At 38.0% G+C, this 21,857-nt stretch overlaps 1 annotated feature.

Moving 5' to 3' along the window:
* Positions 21,174-21,747: an enhancer, noted in NCBI's record as "H3K4me1 hESC enhancer chr10:44703238-44703811 (GRCh37/hg19 assembly coordinates)". NCBI's record gives its function as "activates a minimal SCP1, AML or CMV promoter by ChIP-STARR-seq in primed H9 embryonic stem cells {active_cell/tissue: H9 hESC(primed)}" and the evidence as "EXISTENCE:reporter gene assay evidence [ECO:0000049][PMID:30033119]".

Raw genomic sequence — 21,857 nt, 5'->3', positions numbered from 1 at the left:
CCAGGGCCATCAGGCAAGAGAAAGAAATAAGGGGTATTCAAATAGGAAGAGAGGAAGTCAAGTTGCCTCTATTTGCAGACAACATGATGTTATATTTAGAAAACTCCACCATCGCAGCCCAAAAACTTCTTGAACTGATAAGCAACTTCAGCAAAGTCTCAGGATACAAAATTAATGTGCAAAAATCACAAGCATTCCTTTATACCAACAATAGGAAAGCAGAGAGCCAAATCACAAAAGAACTCCTACTCACAATCACTACAAAGAGAATAAAATATTTAGGAATACAGCTAACAAAGAACGTGAAGGACCTCTTCAAGGAGAACTACAAACCACTGCTCAAGGAAATAAGAAAGAAAACAAACAAATGGAAGAACATTTCATGCCCATGGATAGGAAGAAGTAATGTAGTGAAAATAGCCATACTGCCCAAAGTAATTTATTTATTTATTTATTTATTTATTTTATTATACTTTAAGTTCTGGGTTACATGTGCAGAACATGCAGTTTTGTTACATAGGTATACACATGCCATGGTGGTTTGATGCACCCATCAACCAGTCACCTACATGAGGTATTTCTCCTAATGTTATTCCTCCCCTAGCCCCCTCATCCCCCGCAGGCCCCAGTGTGTGATGTTCCCCTCCTTGAGTCCAGGTGTTCTCATTGTTCAACTCCCACTTATGAGTGAGAACATGTGGTGTTTTATTTTCTGATCTTGTGATAGTTTGCTGAGAATGATGGATTCCAGCTTCATCCATGTCCCTGCAAAGGACATGAACTCATCCTTTTTTATAGCTGCATAGTATTCCGTGGTGTGTATGTGCCACATTTTCTTTATCCAGTCTATCATTGATGGACATTTGGGTTGGTTTCAAGTCTTTGCTATTGTGAATAGTGCTGCAATAAACATATGTGTGCATGTCTCTTTATTGCAGAATGATTTATAATCCTTTGGGTACATACCCAGTAATGGGATTGCTGGGTCAAATGGTATTTCTAGTTCTAGATCCTTGAAGAATCACCACACTGTCTTCCACAATGGTTGAACAAATTTACACTCCCAACCACAGTGTAAAAGAATTCCTACTTTTCCAAAACCTCTCCAGCATCTGTTGTTTCCTGACTTGTTAATGATCGCCATTCTAACTGGCGTGAGATGGTATCTCATTGTGGTTTTGATATGCATTTCTCTAATGACCAGGATGACGAGCATTTTTTCATATGTCCATTGGCTGCATAAGTGTCTTCTTTTGAGAAATGTCTGTTCATATCCTTTGCCCATTTTTTGATGTGGTTGTTTGTTTTTTTCTTGTAAATTTGTTTAAAGTTCTTTGTAGATTCTGGATATTAGTCCTTTGTCAGATGGATAGATTGCAAAATTTTCTCCCATTCTGTAGGTTACCTGTTCACTCTGATGATAGTTTCTTTTGCGGTGTAGAAGCTCTTAAGTTTAATTAGATCCCAATTGTCAATTTTGGCTTTTGTTGCCATTGCTTTTGGTATTTTAGTCATGAAGTCTTTGCCCATGCCTATGTCCTGAATGGTATTGCCCAGGTTTTCTTCTAGGATTTTTATGGTCCTCGGTCTTACGTTTAAGTCTTTGATCCATCTTGAGTTGATTTTTGTATAAGGTGTAAAGAAGGGATCCAGTTTCAGTGTTCTGTATATGGCTAGCCAGTTTTCCCAACACCATTTACTAAATAGGGAATCTTTTCCCCATTGCTTGTGTGTCAGGTTTGTCAAACATCAGATGGTAGTAGGTGTGTGGTGTTATTTCTGAGGCCTCCATTCTGTTCCATTGGTCTATATATCTGTTTTGGTACCAGTACCATGCTGTTTTGGTTACTGTAGGCTTGTAGTAAAGTTTGAATTCAGGTAGTGTGATGTCTCCAGCTTTGTTGTTCTTGCCCAGGATTGTCTTGGCTGTGTGGTCTCTTTTTTGGTTGCATATGAAGTTTAAGCATTTTTTTCCAATTCTGTGAAGAAAGTCAATGGTAGCTTTTGGGCAAAGTAATTTATAGATTCAATGCTATGCCCATCAAACTACCATTGATATTCTTCACAGAATTAGAAAAAAATATTTTAAATTTCATATGGAATCAAAGAAGACCCCAAATAGCCAAGACCATCCTAAGCAAAAAGAACAAAGCTGGAGGTATCATGCTACTGATTTCTACAGTAATCAAAACAGCATGGTACTGGTACCTAAACAAACATATAGACCCATGAAGCACAAGAGAGACCTCAGAAATAACACCACACACCTACAACCATCTGATCTTTGACAAACTTGACAAAACAAGCAATGGGGAATGGATCTCCTAATCAGTAAATAGTGCCGGCTAGCCATTTGCAGAAAACTGAAATTGGACCATTTCCTTACACCTTATACAAAAATTATCTCAATATGGATTAAAGACTTAAATGTAAAACTCGAAACCATAAAAATCCTAGATGAAAGCCTAGGCAATACCATTCAGGACATAGGCATGGGCAAATACTTCTTGACAAAAACGTCAAAAGCAATTGCAATGAAAGCAAAAATAGACAAATGGGATCTAAATAAACTAACGAGCTTCTGCACAGCAAAATAAACTATCATCAGAGTGAACAGGCAACCTACAGAATGGGAGAAAATTTTTGCAATCTACCCATCTGATGAAGGTCTAATATACAGAATTTACAATGAACTTAAACAAATTTAAAAGAAAAAACAAACAACCCCATCAAAAAGTGGGCAAAGGATATGAACAGACAAACGCTTCTCAAAAGAAGACGTTTATGCGACCAACAAACATGAAAAAAAGCTCAACATCACTGATCATCAGAGAAATGCAAATCAAAACCGCAATGAGCTACCATCTCATGCCAGTCAGAATGGCAATTATTAAACAGTCAAGAAACAATAGATGCTGGTGAGGCTGTGGAGAAATAGGGACGCTTTTACACTGTTGGTGGAAACATAAATTAGTTCAACCATTGTGGAAGACAGTATGGTGATTCCTCAAGGATCTAGAACCAGAAATACCATTTGACCCAGCAATCCCATTTCTGGGTATATACTCAAAGGAATATAAATAATTCTATTCTAAAGATACAGGCACACGTATGTTTACTGCAGCACTATTCACAATAGCAAAGACATAGAACCAACCCAAATGCCCATTTGATTGACTGGATAAAGAAAATGATAGATTGGATAAAGAAAATATTGTACATATACACCATGGTATACTGTGCAGCCATAAAAAGGAATGAGATTATGTCCTTTGCAGGGACATGGATGAAGCTGGAAGCCAAACTAACGCAGGAACAGAAAACCAAACACCGCATGTTCTCACTCATAAGTGGGAGTTGAACATTGAGAACACATGGACACAGAGAGGGGAATGACACACACCAGGGTCTATTAGGGTGTGGGGGGTGAGGGGAGGGAACTTAGAGGACAAGTCAATAGGTGCAGCAAACCACTATGGCAAATGTATACCTATGTAACAAACCTGCACGTTCTGCACTTGTATCCCCCCCACCCGCTTTTTTTTTAGAATTAATAAAGAAAAACAAACTAAGCAAATAAAAAGTAAGAAATTATTTTTAAAAAAAGAGAGGGGAAAATGAGGAAGAAGAAAAACAACTAACTAGGTGGCAACTCCCCTTTGTGATGTTGATAAGGTAAGAATAGGTTTCTATTTACTTGATGAAGTCCAAGTTATTTTCTTCTCTCAGGAAAATGGAACAGACAGTTGCAAGGCTCAGATATGTACAGCTGCTTATAAACCCATTGTAAAGTTGAAAAAAATTATAATTTGGGGACCATCTGTATTTGAGCTGCAACTTAGAAGACCCCATTCTCAAGATTCAACTCCTGTCTTCGAAGACATGCACTTACCCATTGCCATCTGTAACCTGAGAGATTCATATGTTGTCTGCGTGCAAGTGCCTGTGTGAAATTGATTTGCCCTTTGCCCACAAAGATTTCAGCTTTTGGATGAAATGCTGTTAACTCCATATTTTCTCTAATTCTTGCTATCCTTTTAAAAGTAAAAGAATTTTTTAAGATATCATATTTACAAGTGCACAGATCACAAGTGTCCAGCTCACTGAATTTTCACAATGTGAGCACACCCATAAAACAACCAATATAAAGAAGTAAAGCATCAGTAGCACCCCAGAAGCCTTCACACTCCCACCTAACTACTCACTCCTCCTCCAAGTAGAGGGGAAGCCTACTGTATGCATTATTTTGGTGTCTGGTTTCCTTAGCTCAGCAATATGTTTGTGAGATGCAAGCACCTTGTTGCATGTAGCAATATGCCATTCTTTCTTATTCCTATCTAGTATTTCATTGTATAATTTCATCATAACTTATTTATCCACTCTGCTATTGATGTATATTTTATTTGTTTCCACTTTTTTATTATTACAAATTGTGTTGCAATAAATATCTCTTGAGGTATCTTCTAATTTGCATGTATGTGCATTTTTGTTACACCTAGAAGTGATATCATTATTCTTTTAATTTAAGCCATCTGGTAGAAGCACTGATGGCCTTTGTGGCCTTAATTTACATTTCCCTGATGATTAATAAAACCAAGCTCTTTTTTGTATATCTATTGACAGTGTAATTACCTTTCTGTGAAGTACCTCTTTAAGACTTTTGTCCATTTTTTAAAATTTTTATTCTCTTACTTATATGTAAGCATTCTTTATATATTCTGGAGTCCAGAACTTTGTGTTTTTTAATATATAATATCTTCTTACCACTGGGGCTTTGCTATCTTAATGTTATGTTTTGATAAACAGAATTTTAAATCATATTTTACAGTCCAATTTAGCTTCTTTATTTTATTGATAACAATTTTTACATTCTGTTTAGGAGATTAGATGTTTTCCAATATAATTTCATGATAAAGTCAATTTAATTGACTTTTAGAAATCATAGTGTTTCACAATGAGGTCTTTAGTTCATCTAGAATTGATGGAATACCTGTGATGTAAGGTAAAGATCATGATTCAGTTATACTCCATGTGGATATTGAATGGATTCCACTTACTTTTTGGAAAGATTATCTTTTTCCCAGAGCACTGTAATGTCAACTTTGTCATATAAGTCAAGTTCTTTTATATGTTTGTACTGTCTTGGGATTCTTTGTTCTGCTATTTAGACTATTAATCTGTCTTGCACTAATATCGCATGACCTTAATATCCATAGTCTGCAAGTCTTGATGTCTAGCAATGCTCTTCTTGTTTTTCTTCATGACGGCCTTTACTACTCTTGGCTTTCTCTGGGACTCTTTTCATATACATTTTAGAATCAGCTTGTCAGCTTATAACTAGATTTAATTTACTAATGTTTTGTCCACAGAAGAAATTGGCCTTACGCTAGATTTTTTCTTGTTTGTAATCTTGTCATATTTTTGTTAGAAGGTTTTACTAGCTTCATAAAATGAGTCAAAAAGTGTCTCTTTTATTACTTTATAAAAGACTTTGGATACAATTAGTTTATTCTCATGTGTTTGGGAGAATTCACTGGGGAATTCATGTGGGCTTGAAGTTTCCTTTATGTATAATGTAAAATATAACATTCATAAAATTTCAGATTAGATTTTAAAAATATAGTCATAGGTACTATTTAGATTTTCTATTCCTTTTGTGTTAGTTTTTGAATAGCTATATTTTTCTTAGAATGCATTCATTTTATTTGATTTTCAAATGTATCAGTTTAACGTTGTTTATAAAAACACTTTATAAACATTTAGATAACTGCAGGGTCTCTAGTGATAATTCTTATCATTAAAGATATTGGAAGAGTATTCTCTGAGTGTGTGTGTCTCTATTTTCCCCCTTTATTTAGTTGTTTTATTTTGAAATAATTAAAGACTTATAGGAATTTACAAAGATAATACAGATAATATAGATGTCGTATATCTTTTCCCCACCAGTTTCCCCTACTGGTTACACCTTATATAATTATCGTACAATCTCAAAATAAGAAAATTGATAATTCTGCAATTTATGTGTGTAATTTTATGCTATCCCATCATGTTATCTTAAATGTGACAACCACTGCTATCAAGATGCAATTCAGCTCCAGTGAAGTTTAGAAACTTTGAGAAAAACAAGCAATGGGGAAAGGATTCCCTATTTAATAAATGGTGCTGGGAAAACTGGCTAGCCATATGTAGAAAGCTGAAACTGGATCCCTTCCTTACACCTTATACAAAAATCAATTCAAGATGGATTAAAGATTTAAACGTTAGACCTAAAACCATAAAAACCCTAGAAGAAAACCTAGGCATTACCATTCAGGACATAGGCGTGGGCAAGGACTTCATGTCCAAAACACCAAAAGCAATGGCAACAAAAGCCAAAATTGACAAATGGGATCTAATTAAACTAAAGAGCTTCTGCACAGCAAAAGAAACTACCATCAGAGTGAACAGGCAACCTACAACATGGGAGAAAATTTTCGCAGCCTACTCATCTGACAAAGGGCTAATATCCAGAATCTACAATGAACTCAAACAAATTTACAAGAAAAAAACAAACAACCCCATCAAAAAGTGGGCGAGGGACATGAACAGACACTTCTCAAAAGAAGACATTTATGCAGCCAAAAAACACATGAAGAAATGCTCATCATCACTGGCCATCAGAGAAATGCAAATCAAAACCACTATGAGATATCATCTCACACCAGTTAGAATGGCAATCATTAAAAAGTCAGGAAACAACAGGTGCTGGAGAGGATGTGGAGAAATAGGAACACTTTTACACTGTTGGTGGGACTGTAAACTAGTTCAACCATTGTGGAAGTCAGTGTGGCGATTCCTCAGGGATCTAGAACTAGAAATACCATTTGACCCAGCCATCCCATTACTGGGTATATACCCAAAGGACTATAAATCATGCTGCTATAAAGACACATGCACACGTATGTTTATTGCGGCACTATTCACAATAGCAAAGACTTGGAACCAACCCAAATGTCCAACAATGATAGACTGGATTAAGAAAATGTGGCACATATACACCATGGAATACTATGCAGCCATAAAAAATGATGAGTTCATGTCCTTTGTAGGGACATGGATGAAATTGGAAACCATCATTCTCAGTAAACTATCGCAAGAACAAAAAACCAAACACCGCATATTCTCACTCATAGGTGGGAATTGAACAATGAGATCACATGGACACAGGAAGGGGAATATCACACTCTGGGGACTGTGGTGGGGTCGGGGGAGGGGGGAGGGATAGCATTGGGAGATATACCTAATGCTAGATGACACGTTAGTGGGTGCAGCGCACCAGCATGGCACATGTATACATATGTAACTAACCTGCACAATGTGCACATGTACCCTAAAACTTAGAGTATAATAAAAAAAAAAAAAAAGAAACTTTACATCTCTTAATAACCCTTTACTCTCTCCTGCTTATAATTGTATAAAATATTTTCTCTACATACATTGAGTACATCAGATATTATTATAATTTTTGCTTCAGCTATCAAACATAGTTAAGAAAATTGAAGAAGAGAAAGAAAATCCTTTGTATTTGCCTACATTTTTGCTCTTTCTGTTGTTCTTTCTTCTTTCCTAGTGTTCTAAGTTTCTGAGGAGGAATCTATTGTCATTTGAATTTTTTTAACTCTGTGAGTAATATGCCCTTTCTCTCTCACTACTTTCAAGATTTTTTTTTTTTTGTATTTAGTTTTCTGAAGTTTGCTTGTGATGTGTCCTGGCATGAATTTCTCTGGGTCAGTCCTATTTAGGATTCATTCATCTTCTTGAATCTATAGATTTTTGTACTTTGAAATATTAGGAAAACTTTCAGCTATTATTTCTTTGAATACTTTCTCAGCCCTTCTCTCTTCCTCTTATCCTTCTGTGACATGTTAGATTACATATGTTGTAACAAAATATGGTTTATTATAGTTCCACAGTTCATAAGGGTTTGTTCTAAAAAGCAAACAAACACAACACCTCTGTTTTCGCTCTGTTTTTCACAATAGGTAATATATCTTGTTCTCTCTTTAAGTTCACTGCTTCTTTTCTCTGTTCTATTTTGCTGTTGAGCTCATCCATTTTTTTAAAAAAAAGTTTAGTTATTGTATTTTTGAGTTCTGACATTTCTTTTTATTCTTTATGTCCTCTATTCTTTGCTAAGACTTTATATTTTCTACTTGTTTAAAGTATGTTTATAATTGTTCATTGAAGCATTTTTATGATGGCTGCTTTAAAATCCTCCTCAGATAATTGCAACATCTGTGCTGTTTTGGTGCTGGCATCTTCTGTTGGTTGTTTTTTCTCATTCGAGTTGCTGTTTTCCTGGTTTGGGGTATATTGAATGATTTTTCATTTAACTTAGATATTTGAGTATTATGTTGTGAGACTTCAGATCTTATTTAAACTTTGTTTTTCCACACCTCCTCTGACACTGCACCAGCAGGGGTGGGAAGGTGCTGCTTCATTACTGTTAGGTGAAATAGGAAAGTCCCAGTTCTCTCTTTGACCTTCTTTGACACGTGAGAGGGAAGAGATGCTTATTACTGCTAGGTAGAGTGGGATTCCAGTTCCCCTACTAGGGCTCTGCTGATATTACTCTAGCTGGGAGAAAGAGAAGTTCTCCTTTCTCTACAACCTTGCCAGCACTTGTTATTATTATTATTGGTCTTTTTGATAATAGCCATTCTAATTAGGGTGGAGTGATATCTCATTGTGGCTTTGATTTGCATTTTCTTGATAATTAGTGACGTTGAGCACTTTTTCATACACTTGTTGGCCATGTGTCCATCTTCTTTTGAGAAATGTCTATTCAGGTCTTTTGCCCATTTTTAAATCAGATTGTCTTTTTGCTATTGAGTTGTTTGAATTCCTTATATATTCAAGTTATTAATCTCTTATTGGATGGATAGTTTGCAAATATGTTCTCCCATTCTGTAGGTTAACTCTTCACTTTGTTGATTGTTTTCTTTGCTGTGCAGAAAGTTTTAAGCTTGATATAATCCCGTTTGCCTACTTTCGCTTTTGTTGCCTGTGCATTTGAGGTCTTACACAAAAAGTCCTTGCCCAGACTGATGTCTTGAAGCTTTTCCCCTGTATTTTCTTCCAGTACCTTCATAGTTTCAGGACTTAGATGTAAGTCTTTAATTTATGTTGATTTGATTTTTGTATATGGTGAAAGATAGGGATATTGTTTTATTCTTCTGCATATGGATATCCAGTTTTCCCATCATAATTTATTAATGAGATTGTCCTATACCCAATGTATGTTCTTGCTGGCTTTGTCAAAAATAAGTTGACTGCAAGTGTGTAGCTTTATCTCTGGGTTCTCTATGCTGTCCCATCTGTCTATGTATCTGTTTTTAGTCATTACCATGCTGTTTCAATTACTATGTTTTTGCAGTATAAATTGACATCAGGTATTGTGATGCCTCCAGCTTTGTTTTTGTTTTTTGTGTTTTGTGTGTGTGTGTGTGTGTGTTTTTCTCAGAATTGCTTTAGCTATTTGGAGTCTTCTGTGGTTCCATATGAATTTTAGAATTGTGTTTTTCTATTTCTGTGAAGAGCATTTCTGGTATTTTGATAGGAATTGCATTAAATCTATAGATCACCTTGAGTAACCTATATAGATTATAGACATATTAACAATATTAATTCTTCCAATCTATGAGCATGGGATATCTTTCCATTTTTTGTGTCTGCTTCAATTTCTTTCATTGATATTTTATTGGTTTCCTTATAGAGATCTTTCACTCCTTTGGTTAAATTTATTCCTAGGTATTTTATTTTTTGTGACTATATTAAATGGCATTGTTTTATGATTTCCTGTACAGATCACTGTCAGCAATGAAAAATGCTACTGAGTTTTGTATGTTGATTTTGTATCCTGCAGCTCTACTGAATCTTCTTTTATCAGTTATAAGAGAGTTTTTTGGTGGAGTCTTTAAGTTTTTCTGAATATAAGATTATGTCTTCTGCAGACAAGGCTAATTTGACTTCTTTCTTTCCTGTTTGGATGCCCTTGTTTCTTTCCACTGCCTGATGATTGCTCTGGCGAGGACTTCCAGAACAATGTAAAATAGCAGTAGTGAAAGTGGGCATTCTTGTCAGGTTCCAGGTCTTAGAGAAATTGCTTTCAATTTTTCCTTGTTCATCACAATATTAGCTATGAGTTTATTATATAAGGCCTTTGTCATATTGAGGTATGATCCTTCTATACTCAATTTGTTGAGAATTTTTTTTGTCATGAAGTCATACTGAATTTTATCAAATGCTTTTTCAGCATTCATTGAGATAAGTCATTTTTTTGGTCCTTCATTCTGTTGATTTGATGTATCATGCTTATTGATTTGCATATGTTGAACCATCCTTGCATCCCTGGGATGAATCCCACTTGATTGTGGTGGATGATCTTTTTAATGTGTTGTTGAATTCAGTTTGCTAATATTTTGTTGAGGATTTTTGCAGCAATGTTCACCAGGGATGTTGGTGTGTAGTTTTATCTTTTTAGTTGTGACTTTATATGTTTTTGGTATCAGGATAGTGCTGGCCTCATAGAATGACTCTGGAAGCATCCCCCCCTCTTCAATTACCTCCTCTTCAATTATTTGAAATAGTTTCAGTAGAGTTGATGTTATTTTTTAGATATTTGGTACAATTCAACAGTGAATCCATCAGGTCCTGGGCTTTTCTTCGATGAGAGACTTTGAGTGCTTTGATCTTGTTACTCATTATGGGTCTGTTCAGGTTTTCTATTTCTTTATGGTTTAGTCTTTGTAGGTTGTATGTGTCAATGAATTTACCAATTTCTTCTAGCTTTCCCAGCTTATTAGTGAATAGTTGTTCATAGCAGTCTCAAAAATCCTTAGTAGTCTCTAATAATTTATGTGATATCAGTTGTAATGTGTTCCTTTTTGTCTCTGATTTTATTTGAATCTTCCCTTTTTTTAGCCCAGCTAAAGATTTGTCATTTTTTTATCTTTTCAAAAAACAACCTTTTCATTTTATTGATCTTCTGTATTTAGCCTCAATTTTATTCATTTCTGCTCTGATCTTTATTGTTTCTTTCCTTCTACTATTTTTAGGTTTGGTTTGTTCTTGCTTTTCTAGTTTCTTCAGGTTCATTGTTAGGCTATTTGAAGTCTTCCTATTTTTTTATTTAGGCTATATGTAAACTTCCCTCTTTGTACTGCTTTTGCTATATCCCATAGGTTCTCATATATTGTATTTCCATTTCATTTGTTTTAATACTTTTTAGAATTTCCTTCTTTACTTTCTTCATTGGTCATTCAGGAGCATTTTAATTTCCATGTATTTGTATAGTTTCTAAATTTCTACTTTCTGTTGACTTCTAGTTCATTCTATTGTGGTCAGAGAAGATACATGATATAATTTTGACTCTTGAATTTGGCGACACTTGTTTTGTGGCCTATGATATGGTGTATCTTGGAGAATGTTCCATGTGCTGATGAGAAAAATGTATATTCTGCAGCAGTTGGGTAAAATATTCTCTAGATGTCTGTTAGACCGTCTAGGGATCTGCTGTGGGATACAGGCTAAAGAGCCTGGTCTCATTGACTTAAAGGGATGTGCATCTTCCAGCAAGTCCCTGGATAGTTGAGATCATTCTTTCATTGCAGCAGGAAAAATCAGAGCTGGGACCGGGTCCCCTTGGGATCTGCTGTGAGATGGAGGCTAGAGAGCCAGCATCATTGTCCCAGACAGGTATGGCTCTCCCACCAGGTCTCAGTACAGAGGAGATAGTTCTCTGACAGCATCGAGAGGGACAAGAGCTAAGGCTGGGCACCCTTGGGATTTGCTCTGGGACAGAGTTGGGCAAGCCCATCAGGGAGGCTCAGACTCCTGAGCTGTGAGATATGGGTGAGTCTTCCCCTGGGTTCTTGTGTAACCACTTCTGAGATGGGAGCTCAACTGATCAGGGGTGAATCCCAGCCACAGGGCAGCTTTTAGGTTCACTGCTGAGACTGATGTAGGCAGGCAGAGAAGCCTTTCTGCCAAGGCACTAGTGTGTGTGTGATTCCTTCTAGATCTCTTGGCAGATGGTTTAGGTTGTAGGCTCAAGACCAAACAAAGCAGTAACCAAGGCTCCCGGACGACTGGGTTATTTCTGTACTTGAACACAGGAGCAAGCTCAACAGATCAGCCATTTGGGTGTTGGTGTGCACTCTCAAATAACTCTCCAATGTCTTGGGTTTTACCAGGTGTTTCACAAGCCCCTACCTGAATCCTGAGGCTCCCAAAAAGAGACTTTTGACTGTCAATACGTAGAGAGTTCATGTTGTTGTCAGGAGTATGAACAGATTATCTTTTATGCTGCCATCTTGACGATGTCACTCCCACATGAAATTTCTTTTTCCACCCTTTGTTTTGAATATTTGGGTGTCCTTATATATAAGGTGCATTTCATCTTTTCAGCACAAAGACTTTGTTAAAAAACCAACATGGCAGTCTTTATCTTTTAAAAGGACTAATTAAAGCATCAGTATTTATTGCCATTATGGATATATTTGAGTTTATATTGATCACATGATTTATATCTGTTCTACCTAGTTTATGCTTATGCTTTTCTCTTTTCATATCTCCTTACAGATTAAAATTATTATTAATCTAATTTATTAGATTACAATTATTATTTTTAAAATTTCCTTCTATTAAATTCTTAGATATACACACGTTCACTATCCTTTTAGTGAATATTCTAGAGATTGAAACATACACATCTCTGATATATTAGAGTCTCAGATAAATTATTAATTTTATTCACTTTCAGAAATGCTAGAATTCAGATCACTTTTATTCCATTTATACTCCTCTTGCCTTTTTTGCATGATTTTCATCATTCATTTTGTTGTTTTACAGTCAACTTTCATTTATATTTGTCCATATTTCTATCCTTTACATTGTTTTTATACTTTATACGTTCTCATGTGGAATAATTTTACTTCTGACTTTGCTATTACTTTACAAGGTGTCTGCTATTGATGAATTCTTTAAGTATTTGTTTGAGTAGAAACATTTTTATTTAGCTCTTGATTTTTGGAGTATACTTCTGATAGCTATAGAATTCTATTTTTTTTAGCACTTTATATCTATTGTATCAGTTCATTTTCACACTGTTGATAAAGTCATACCTGAGAGTGGGCAATAAACAAAAGAAAGAGGTTTAATGGACTTACACGTGGCTGGGGAAGCCTCACAATCACAGAAGAAGGCAGGGAGGAGCAAGTCACATCTTACACGGATGGCAGCAGGCAAAGAGAGGAGCTTGCTCAGGGAAACTCCTGTTTCTAAAACCATCATATCTCATGAGACTTATTCACTATCATGAGAACAGCATGGGAAAGACCTGCCCCCATTATTCAATTACCTCCCACCAGGCTCCTCCCATGACACATGTGAAAGTTAAAATTCAAGATGAGATATGGGTGGGGGCACAGCCAAACCATGTCATTCTGTCCCTGGCCCCTCCTAAATCCCACATCTTCAGATTTCAAAACCAATCATGTCCTCCCAACAGTCCCCCAAAGTCTCAACTCATTTCAGCATTAACTCAATAGTCCACAGTCCAAAGTCTTATCTGAGACAAGGCAAGTCCCTTCTGCCCATGAGCCTCTGAAATCAAAAGCAAATTAGTTACTTCCTAGATACAATGGGGTACAGGCATCGGGTAAATACAGACATTCCAAATGGGAGACACTGGCCAAAACAAAGGGGCTACAGGTCCCATGCAAGTCCAAAATCTGGCAGGGCAGTCAAATCTTGAAGCTCCAAAATGATCTCCTTTGACTCCATGTCTCACATCCAGGTCACACTGATGCAAGAGGTGGGTTCCCATTGTCTTGGGCAGCGCCACCTCATGGCTTTGCAGGGTACAGCCTCCCTCTCAACTGCTTTCACAGACTGATGTTGAGTGTCTGTGGCTTTTCCAGGTGCACCATGCAAGCCATTGGTGAATCTTTTATTCTGGGGTCTGGAGAATGGTGCCTCTTTTCTCACAGCTCCCCTAGGTGGTGCTCCTGTAGCGACTCTGTGTGGGGGCTCTGACACCACATTTCCCTTCTGCACTGCCCTAGCAGAAGTTCTCCATGGGAGCCCCACCCCTTCAACAAACTTCTGCCTGGACATCCCAACATTTCCATACATCCTCTGAAATCTAGTAGGAGGTTCCTACTCCAATTCTTAACTTCTGTGCACCCAGAGGCTCAACACCATGTGGAAGCTGCCAAGACTTGGGGCTTGCACCCTCTGAAGCAACAGCCCAAGCTGTACCTTGGCCCCTTTCAGCCATGACTAGAGCAGTTGGGATGTGGGGCATCAAGTCCCTAGGCTGCACACAGCATGGGAATTCTGGGTCTGGCCCACAAAACCACTTTTTCCTCCTAGGCCTCCAGGCTTGTGATGGGAGGGGCTACCATGAAGACCTGTGACATGCCCTGGAGACATTTTCCCCATTGTCTATGTTGGTGATCAACATTCAGCTCCTCGTTACTTATGCAAATTTCTGCATCCAGCTTGAATTTCTCCTCAGAACATGGGATTTTCTTTTCTATCACATTGTCAGGCTGCAAATTTCCCAAACTTTTATGCTGTCTTTCTCTTTTAAAACTGAATGCCTTTTAACAGCACCCAGCCACACCTTGAATGCTTTGAAATTTCTTCTTTGTTGCTTAGCAATTTCTTCTGCCAGATACCCTAAATCATCTCTCTCAAGTTCAAAGTTTCACAAATCTCTAGGGCAAAATGCTGCCAGTCTCTTTGCTAAAACAGCAAGAGTCACCCTTCTCCAGTTCCCAAGAAGTTTCTCATCTCCATCTGAGACCACCTCAGCCTGGACTTTATTGTCCATATCGCTATCAGCATTTTGGCCAAAGCCATTCAACAAGTCTCTAGGAAGTTTCAAACTTTCCCACATTTTCCTGTCTTCTTCTGAGCCCTCCAAACTGTTTCAACCTCTGCCTGTTACCCCAGTTCCAAAGTCACTTCCACACTTTCCAGTATCTTTTCAGCAGCACCTCACTCTACTGGTATCAACTTCTGTATTTGTCCGTTTTCATGCTGATGATAAAGACATACCCAAGACTGGGCAATTTACAAAAGAAAGAGGTTTAATGGACTTACATTTCCACGTGGCTGGGGAAACCTCACAGTCATGGTGCAAGGCAAGGAGGAGCAAGTCACATTTAAATGGATGGCAGCAGGCAAAGAGAGAGACCCTGTGCAGAAAAACTCCCATTTTCGAAACCATAAGATCTCATAGGACTTATTCACTATTACAAGAACAGCATGGGAATGACCTGCCCCCATGATTCAATTACCTCCCACCAGTTTCCTCCCATGACATGTGGGAATGGTGGGAGTTACAATTCAAGATGAAATTTGGGTGGGACACAGCTAAACCATATCAGCTATCATTTCAAGTTTTTGGCCTTCTTTTGTTTCTATGGAGAAGTCATTTGTCATAATTTTGCTTCTTTTCAGATAGATCTTTTTTTCCATGCTGGGTGATTTTTAGATCTTTGTCTTTGGTTTCCTTCATATTTGCTATGATATGGCTAGGTGTGTTTTATTGTTGTTTACTGCACTATACGCACTTAAATCTATGGCTAGAAGTTTTTTATCTGATTTAAAAAATTTTGGCCATTATCTTTTCAAATTTTACTTCTGTTTCATTCCCTCTTTCCTCTATTTCTGTGACTCCACTTACCCACATTTTAGACCTAGTGATAAGCTAATTTTCTGAAGGAAATAAAATGGTTCTGTTAACTGGCATTTGCTACCTCTCTTCTCTTCATGCTGAGTTCAAGTTACCAACTATTTAACAAGGAGCTCAAAAAATACATGAAAATTACCAGTTAGTTCTTATTAGCTGGCATAAGCCAGCCAATGAATCACTGGTTTAACTTTTGTATTGAGTCTCATATGTCTATTATGTACCTTTTTGTATTTTTCATCTAGTTTTCTCTGTGTTATTAGAATTTTTCTATTAATCTATCTTCTAGTTCACTAATATTCTCTTCAGCCTCACCAAATCTGCTTTTATCCCATTAAGTTCTTAAAATTATTTTTTTATTTTGATATTCTAGATTTTCCACTTAAGCTTTTTTAAAATAAGAATTGCAGTTCTCTGATTACATTTTACATCTTTTAATCTGTCTTGTTTGAATATATTAATCACAATTATGTGAAAAGCTATGTGTTGTTGTTTAGCTCTAATATTTTCAACTTCTTTGGGTGTATACCAATTATATTTTTTCTATTGGTCATAACTTTTGATATCCCTAACAATTTTGGTTAAATAGAAAACATTTAATATAAAACATTAGGGATGTTCTGAGTAGTGTTATCTTCTACCAAAGATGATGAATCACCCTTTCCTCAGGTGGGCAACTACTGTAGGATGAGATACTTCTAAGGTGAAATACTTCAATGTGACTGGGGAAGACCTTTTATGAGACTCAGTTGCAGTCTTTGCTAGGGTCTACCTCTGTTTTGTCACCATTCCTTGGTAGCCTTACGTGTGTTCCAATCAAGGACCTGGGTGTTTTCAGAAGTTCTCGTCTTTGGTGGGTCCTGAACTCTAATTTTTTTTTTTTTTTTTTTTGGTTTTTCAGTCTGATAGCAATGCTAAAACTCTGCTCCATTATTCAATGATTCTTCTTTGCTTCTTACACTCTTGACTTGTACAGTTTAAGCATTGGGCAAATACCTTGAGGGGAAAACCACCAAGTATTGAGCTTATTTTATGTGGTTTCCTTCTCTCAGGGATTTTTGCCACTTAACTCCTAGCTATGTTGGCATCCCTTTAATGTCTTCAATATCTGTCTATTTTGTATTATATTTGGATTTTTAAACTTTTCCTGGCAGAAGTGCTGGTCTGCTTCAAGTTACTCTGTTATGGTCAGACACAGAAATCCCCTCTAATAGTTGTTTTATGAGAGGCAGAGTGACATACAGTAGCAACAACTCTGGAATTAGAAAGTTAGATGACCCATTTCTGGCTCTGTAATTTACTAATTTTCAGAATGTGAACCTGTTTATTTCACCTTTTAGTGACCAAATTTACAAAGTCATATGACTATTGGAACTGACATTTTAAGGATAAAAAAGAAGAAAAATAAATAAATAATTGCAAAACATGATTATTGATATGAAGGAATTGCAATTCTGCATCATTGACACCCAGGTATTATTATGGATATGGGAACTGACAGCATCTTTTGTGGAAACAGAAGAAAGAAGAAGAGATTCTAAATAAGAAGTAAGTGAAAAACTGTGTGAGTGCAGCATCCCAGAAGCTGGGAAAGGAGAATATTGCTAGAACTCAGAGGTAGCCAGCCCTGTCAAATCCTGCTATCACATGAAATAAGATGAGGGCAAAAAAATGGACCATTGGACTTAACAATATGAGAATTGTTGGAAACCTTGACAAGAGCAGTTTCAGTGGATTTTTTTTGTGAACAAAACCAGATAGCAGCGAATTGACCAGTGAAGTAGAGATAAAGAAAGGGAGACTGCCTGTTGAGACATCTTTTTCAAGACGTTTATCCTTGAAGAGAGAGCAGGGAGTAGTGCTATGCTTACAAAATCTCAGCAGAGTACCCTGGAGGCCTGCCCCATTTCATCTCAAGCTGCAGAGTTCCCTCAATCTCAATCATGATTTTGTTTTTGTCTTTCCCTTATCTTTTCCAGTGAGCGCTTCCTTTTTTTGCCCATTCATACAGCTTCTCTTTCTCTTTTCCTTGTGGCTGATGGTACAACTCATATTATCTTGGCTGAGCCTTCTCAGTTTTTAAGAGAAGTTGAGCTCTATTTTATTTCTTAAAATAATATTTCAAATTGTGGTTACTTTAGACAAATTAGGTGACATTTAAAATCTTCTGTTTATTTAAACTTTTCAAAATATTATAATAATCTGTCCTAAAAGAGTATATCCAGTCTAAAAAAATTTGCAGTTTCAAAGTCGGATTCAAAAAAGACAAGAGCAGGAGAAGCAGCATGAGGGGGGAGAAAATCCACCAGACTGAGACCCAGACACTCCTAAGTTCAAGTCCATGCTCTGTGTGTCATCTGAGGCAATGTGTTAATCTTAATTTTATGTATGTTATATAGTGACTTATATAGAAAGTTATATGTATTTATCTATGTAGACATGTTATAAATAAATTATATATTTATATATCAAATTTATAATTTTAAATATAGTAATTCCTCAGTACCCATGGAGGATTAGTTCCAGGACTTCTATGGATATCAAAAGCCCAAAAGCTGCAGATACTCAAGTCCCTGATAGAAAATGACGTAGTATTTGCACATAACCTATGCATGTCCTCCTGTGCACTTTAAATCATCTCTAGATTACTTATAATACCTCATATAATGTAAACGCTATGTAAAGAGTTGTTACACTATATGATTTAAAGAATAATAACAAGAACAAATGTCTGTACATGCTCGATCCAGGAAAAATTTGTTTTCTTGAGTATTTTTAATCCACGGTTGGTTGAATCTACAGATGCAGAACTGATAGATACAGAGAGCTGACAGTATGTCTTTGATTTATTTATTTTTAATTATATATTTATATGTGTGTGCAGACATGTATGTATAACTATATTTATATTTGTATCTTTATCTGTATCTATCTGTATCTATTCTTAGAAATCTTTTAAGATGCTTTGATGAAATAAATATTCAAATATTTGGCAAACATGCAAAAAATATTTTTTTTCTTTCCTCAGCTCTCCATTTCTTTAGTCAGCAACACGTCTTTGAAAAAAGAAACACCATTCTTTTTTATTTTTCAAATTTCTCTTGTTATTGAAAGTATCTCTTGCTATTGACAACCCATTTTTTCTATCTTCTAGGCATCATTCAGTTAAATCAAATCAAGTCAGAAAAATCTATTTTGCCATACCTTGGGTCACACAGTAGGGTCTCTTTAAAACTCATTTTTCCTTTCACTTCATAGGCTGTTTGCTGACCCCGCAGTTCTAAAATTGATTTCCTTCTCTATCACTACTGCTAAAATTGTATCAATAACTATTGAATAGAACCGGCTTTTCCTTGCCACACTCACCTAAATTGTACTTCTCTTCCTTAATTCCATCTAACCTCTGCCAAATCGCTCTGCATTTCATATTATCTTCTGAATTCCCAGCTGCTCAGTCCTATGTGTTTTAATTTAAAATACTTCACTGTCTTTCACGTCTCATCTACAGGGAAGACCACATAATTTGTGGGGCCCAGAGCAATGTGAAAATAGGGCTCCTTGTTCAAAAAGCAGGAAAATAAATGCAGTTACAAATAAAAGCTATAAAGATTATCCTTTGAAGGCATTTTATTACTCATGAAATGTAATGAGGAAAAGGTGATGCTATCTAATCACAACACAACAGAACATTGAAAAGGTCAGGGAAGCCTCCTGGTGCTGCCTGCATGCAGAGCCCCTCTTGTCTCCTAAGGCCCAGACACTGCAGCGTCACCATTGTGAACTGGGCAGCCCAGCCTGCTGCCCGCTGTGCAGGCCCAGCCTACCTCCTCTGCTCCAGCAAAGGCCCCATCAGACTTCACTTACAAATCACAAGCTCAAAATAAAATTAGAAAGAATTTCGAGTTGGTCACAGCAGAATGTTAAACCTAGTGTGGGGCCCTTCTCAGAAGGGCCCCGTATGACTGTCCTGTTGCCTGCCCTGAAGCCAGCCTGTGCCACTGCTGCAGCCTCCCAGAGGGTTGGGAGAATCTAGCCATGTTATGTCCAGCACGGGCAGGCCCTGGACTAAGGCACCTTCCTTTTTTTGTAATTTGAAAGAACTAGAGTGAAGAAGAGGTCCAGGACCCACAGCAGCAGAGACTCTTTTTAGTAACATGACCTTGAGTTTGTGACATTTGTTTCCTGCACTTCAGTTTCCTTATATGCAAAATAAATGTTCCTTCGTCTGTTAAAAAAGTAACAGGGGAGGAATGAGACACAAAGATGAATAAGACATGGCCTCTACCCACAAGGACGTCCCAATCTCTCAATGAAATTCATACCCCTACCAGTGTTCATTTCTTTCCAGATATAAGATGGGAGGCTTCACAGAGAAAATCATCTTACATCTGAATCCAGATGAATGAAAACTAGTTTGTGTAGTGCACAACGAGGAGAAGGATCATTTTCAGGCAGCTCTTGAACAAGCATAGAGGTGAAGGAGCAGCTGTAGTCAGGAAATGTGGAGCAGGTGGCAGAGGGACAAGAAAGAGGCAACAATGGATACAGTGGCCGGATACAGAGGCCTGCGGCCTCATGAGGAGTTTGGGACTGGATCTAGGGAGCTCTTGGGAAGGCCTCTAGGCAGAGAAATGCCATAGGACTTAGTCTTGTTAGAAAGACCACTTTGCCAACAATGGAAAGGATACAAAGGCTAGCACTGGGGAGACTGGGGTCCTGGGGAAATGCAGTGTGGGGATTGTGATGGTCAGTTTTACGTGTCAGCTTGACGGTTTAGGAGACACACACACATGGCTGGTAAAGCATTACTTCTGGAAATGTCTGTGAGGGTGTTTCCAGAAAATACCGATGTTTGGATTAGTGGACTGGGTAAAGAAGACCCACCCTCACCCAGTGTGGATGGACACCATCCAATCAGCTAAGTGCCCAAATAGAACAAAAAGGCAGAGTAAAGAATTCTCTCTCTCTTTTCCAGGGCAAGGATGCCATTCTTCTCCAGCCCTTGAACCTCAGAACTCCAGGTTCTCTGGCCTTGGTCTCCAGGACTTGCACCAGTGCCCCCTGGGTTCTCAGGCCTTCAGCCTCTGACTGAGAGTGACACCATCAGCTTCCCTGGTTCTGAGGCCTTTGGACTTGGACTGAGCCACGCTACTGCTACTGACATTCCAGAGTCTCCAGCTTGCATACAGCCTGTCCTCCTAATCACATGAGTCAATTCCCCTAATAAATCCCCTCTCATCTATCCATAGATCTATCTATCTCCTATTGGTTCTTTCTGTGGAGAGCCTTGACTAATACAGGGGTGAAAGAGGGTCTGAATTTAGACGCGTACCAATAGGATGTTGGAGTAGCAGTGATCACTGGAAATATGGGTCAGGAGCTCAGGAGGATGATCAGGGCTGAGCACATAGAATTTGGAGCTGTCAGAAGATGGATGTGCGGCTTACAAAGGGACAGTATGAAGGGTGGGACCAGAGAAGATGACCAAGGGTGGAACGCAGAGAAACCCCAGTGTTTAGGGAATGGACAGAATTGGAGAAACCTGCAAAGGTTACTGAGAAAGAGATAGGGGAAGGGGGAATGAGTAAAGGAAGAAGAGAGAAAGAGAGGGGAGGGAACTCTGAAGCTATTTTCTGGGCAAAAGAAGTGAGCAACAATGATCCATGAAGAACCAGTGCACTGTGGTGGATGGGGAGGCAAGATGCCGGGATGAGGAAGTGAACAGTTGGATGGGAACTCATGGAGCACTTGCCACCTGCCAGGCACTCCTCCAGCCTTGGAGTTTCACACTTCGTCACCTTGGCAACGGCCTTCCAGGGTGGGCACCATCATGCCTATTTAACATGTGAGGAGACTGGGAGGTCAGATATTCAGACGTTTGCTCAAGTTCCATGCTGGGGAAGAGCAGATTGAGAATTCTAGCTGCACACCTACGCCAAGGGACGCAGCCCCCACTCCCCATCTCATGCTGCCCATCTCCTCGAACACGGCTGCTGTGGCCAAGGGCCAGGTGCAGCGCAACCCTCTGGGACACCTTCCTCTGCCCCATCTCTGGCTCCTAGTGGCATGGAGAGGCTGGGCTAAAGCAGAGCTGAGAGAGGCCAAAGGTCCTGAC

This window comes from Homo sapiens, chromosome 10 (genome assembly GCF_000001405.40).
Source record: "Homo sapiens chromosome 10, GRCh38.p14 Primary Assembly".
NCBI classification, from domain to species: Eukaryota; Metazoa; Chordata; class Mammalia; order Primates; family Hominidae; genus Homo; species Homo sapiens.
The sequence above is the reverse complement of the archived record's forward strand: the minus strand, read 5'-3'. Positions and strand labels throughout refer to the sequence as shown.